This window comes from Homo sapiens, chromosome X (genome assembly GCF_000001405.40).
Source record: "Homo sapiens chromosome X, GRCh38.p14 Primary Assembly".
In the NCBI taxonomy this organism is placed as follows: Eukaryota; Metazoa; Chordata; class Mammalia; order Primates; family Hominidae; genus Homo; species Homo sapiens.
Window position 1 is genome coordinate 76,109,764 of NC_000023.11, and position 1,260 is coordinate 76,111,023.

Consider the following 1,260-nt stretch of genomic DNA (forward strand, 5'->3'; position numbering starts at 1 on the left):
GGGTGGAGGAGGACTTTTTTTTGTTTGTTTCTTTGTTTTTTGGCGGGGGGGGGGGGGCGGGGATGCTCTGCTGCCATCTACAGAAAAGTATGTAAAAAGCAACTAAGAAATTATTTCCTTAACCAAAGTCCACTGCAGCAGATATGCCCCAAATAAACAAGAAGTTGAAAATACTTGATATTTCTCTTGAGACTTTGGTTTCTCTGTAGCTACAGAAATAAAATGGAGGAAGCGGGTCAGAGGAAGATGGCTGAATAGAAGCCTCCACCATTCATCCACACTGATGGAACATCAAATTTAAAAACTGTCTACACAAAAATACACGTTCATAACAACAAAAATATCAGGTCCGAGCTCGGCCACAGTAGGATAGAGCACCAAGAGGTGGAAGCCGGACACAGTGACTCACTCTTGTAATTTCAGCACATTACGAGGCCGATCTGGGCAGATCAATTGAGCTTAGGAGTTAGAGACCAGCCTGGGCAACAGGGTGAAACCCTGTCTCTACAAAAAATATAAAAATTAGCCAGGCATGGTGGCACATGCCTGTAGTCCCAACTACTCATGAGGCTGAGGTGCGAGTATCATCTGAGCCTGGGGATTTTGAGGCTATGGTGAGCCATAATTGTGTCACTTCACTTCAGCCTGAGTGACAGAATGAGGCCCTATCTCAAAAAAAAAAAAAAAAAGAGGGCCCTCCTCATCCCAAATTCCAGGACTTCACTCTTAAACTGCATTTCTAGACCTGCTCTGGGACAAAGAAGAGCCCACTGCCCTGAAGGGTAAGTCCCAAGGCTGGTAGCATTCACCATGAGGTCACTGAAGAGTTCTTGGGCCTTAAGTAAACATTGGTGGTAGCCTGGCAGTACTCTCCATGGGCCTGTGGTGGTGACAGCTATGAGGAGAGGCTCCTCTGTCTGTGCAAAAAAAAAAAAGGGAAAGTGAGAAGGACTTTATCTCATGGTTTGAGTGCCAGGTTAGCCACAGTAGAATAGAGCACCAGATTAATTTCTAAGGTTTTTGACTCAAGGCCTTGGCTCCCAGTCCGCATCTTAGGACCCAGTAGAGGCCTGGGAGAACTCACTACCTTGAAAAGAAAAACACAAACCTGGGTGTCTTCATCACCTACTCATTGTAGAGGTCCAGAGCCTTGAGCAAACATAAGCGGTAGCCTGGCAGTGGCTACAGCAGGCCTTGGGCAAGTGCAATACTGGCTTCAGTTCTGACCCAGTGTTTTCCTACTGGTGGTGGCCACAGATA

At 46.4% G+C, this 1,260-nt stretch overlaps 1 annotated feature.

Annotated features, from left to right (window-relative positions):
• Nucleotides 370-503: a silencer, noted in NCBI's record as "fragment chrX:75329968-75330101 (GRCh37/hg19 assembly coordinates)". NCBI's record gives its function as "represses an EF-1alpha promoter that drives an FKBP-Casp9 reporter gene in an ReSE screen in HepG2 liver carcinoma cells {active_cell/tissue: HepG2}" and the evidence as "EXISTENCE:reporter gene assay evidence [ECO:0000049][PMID:32094911]".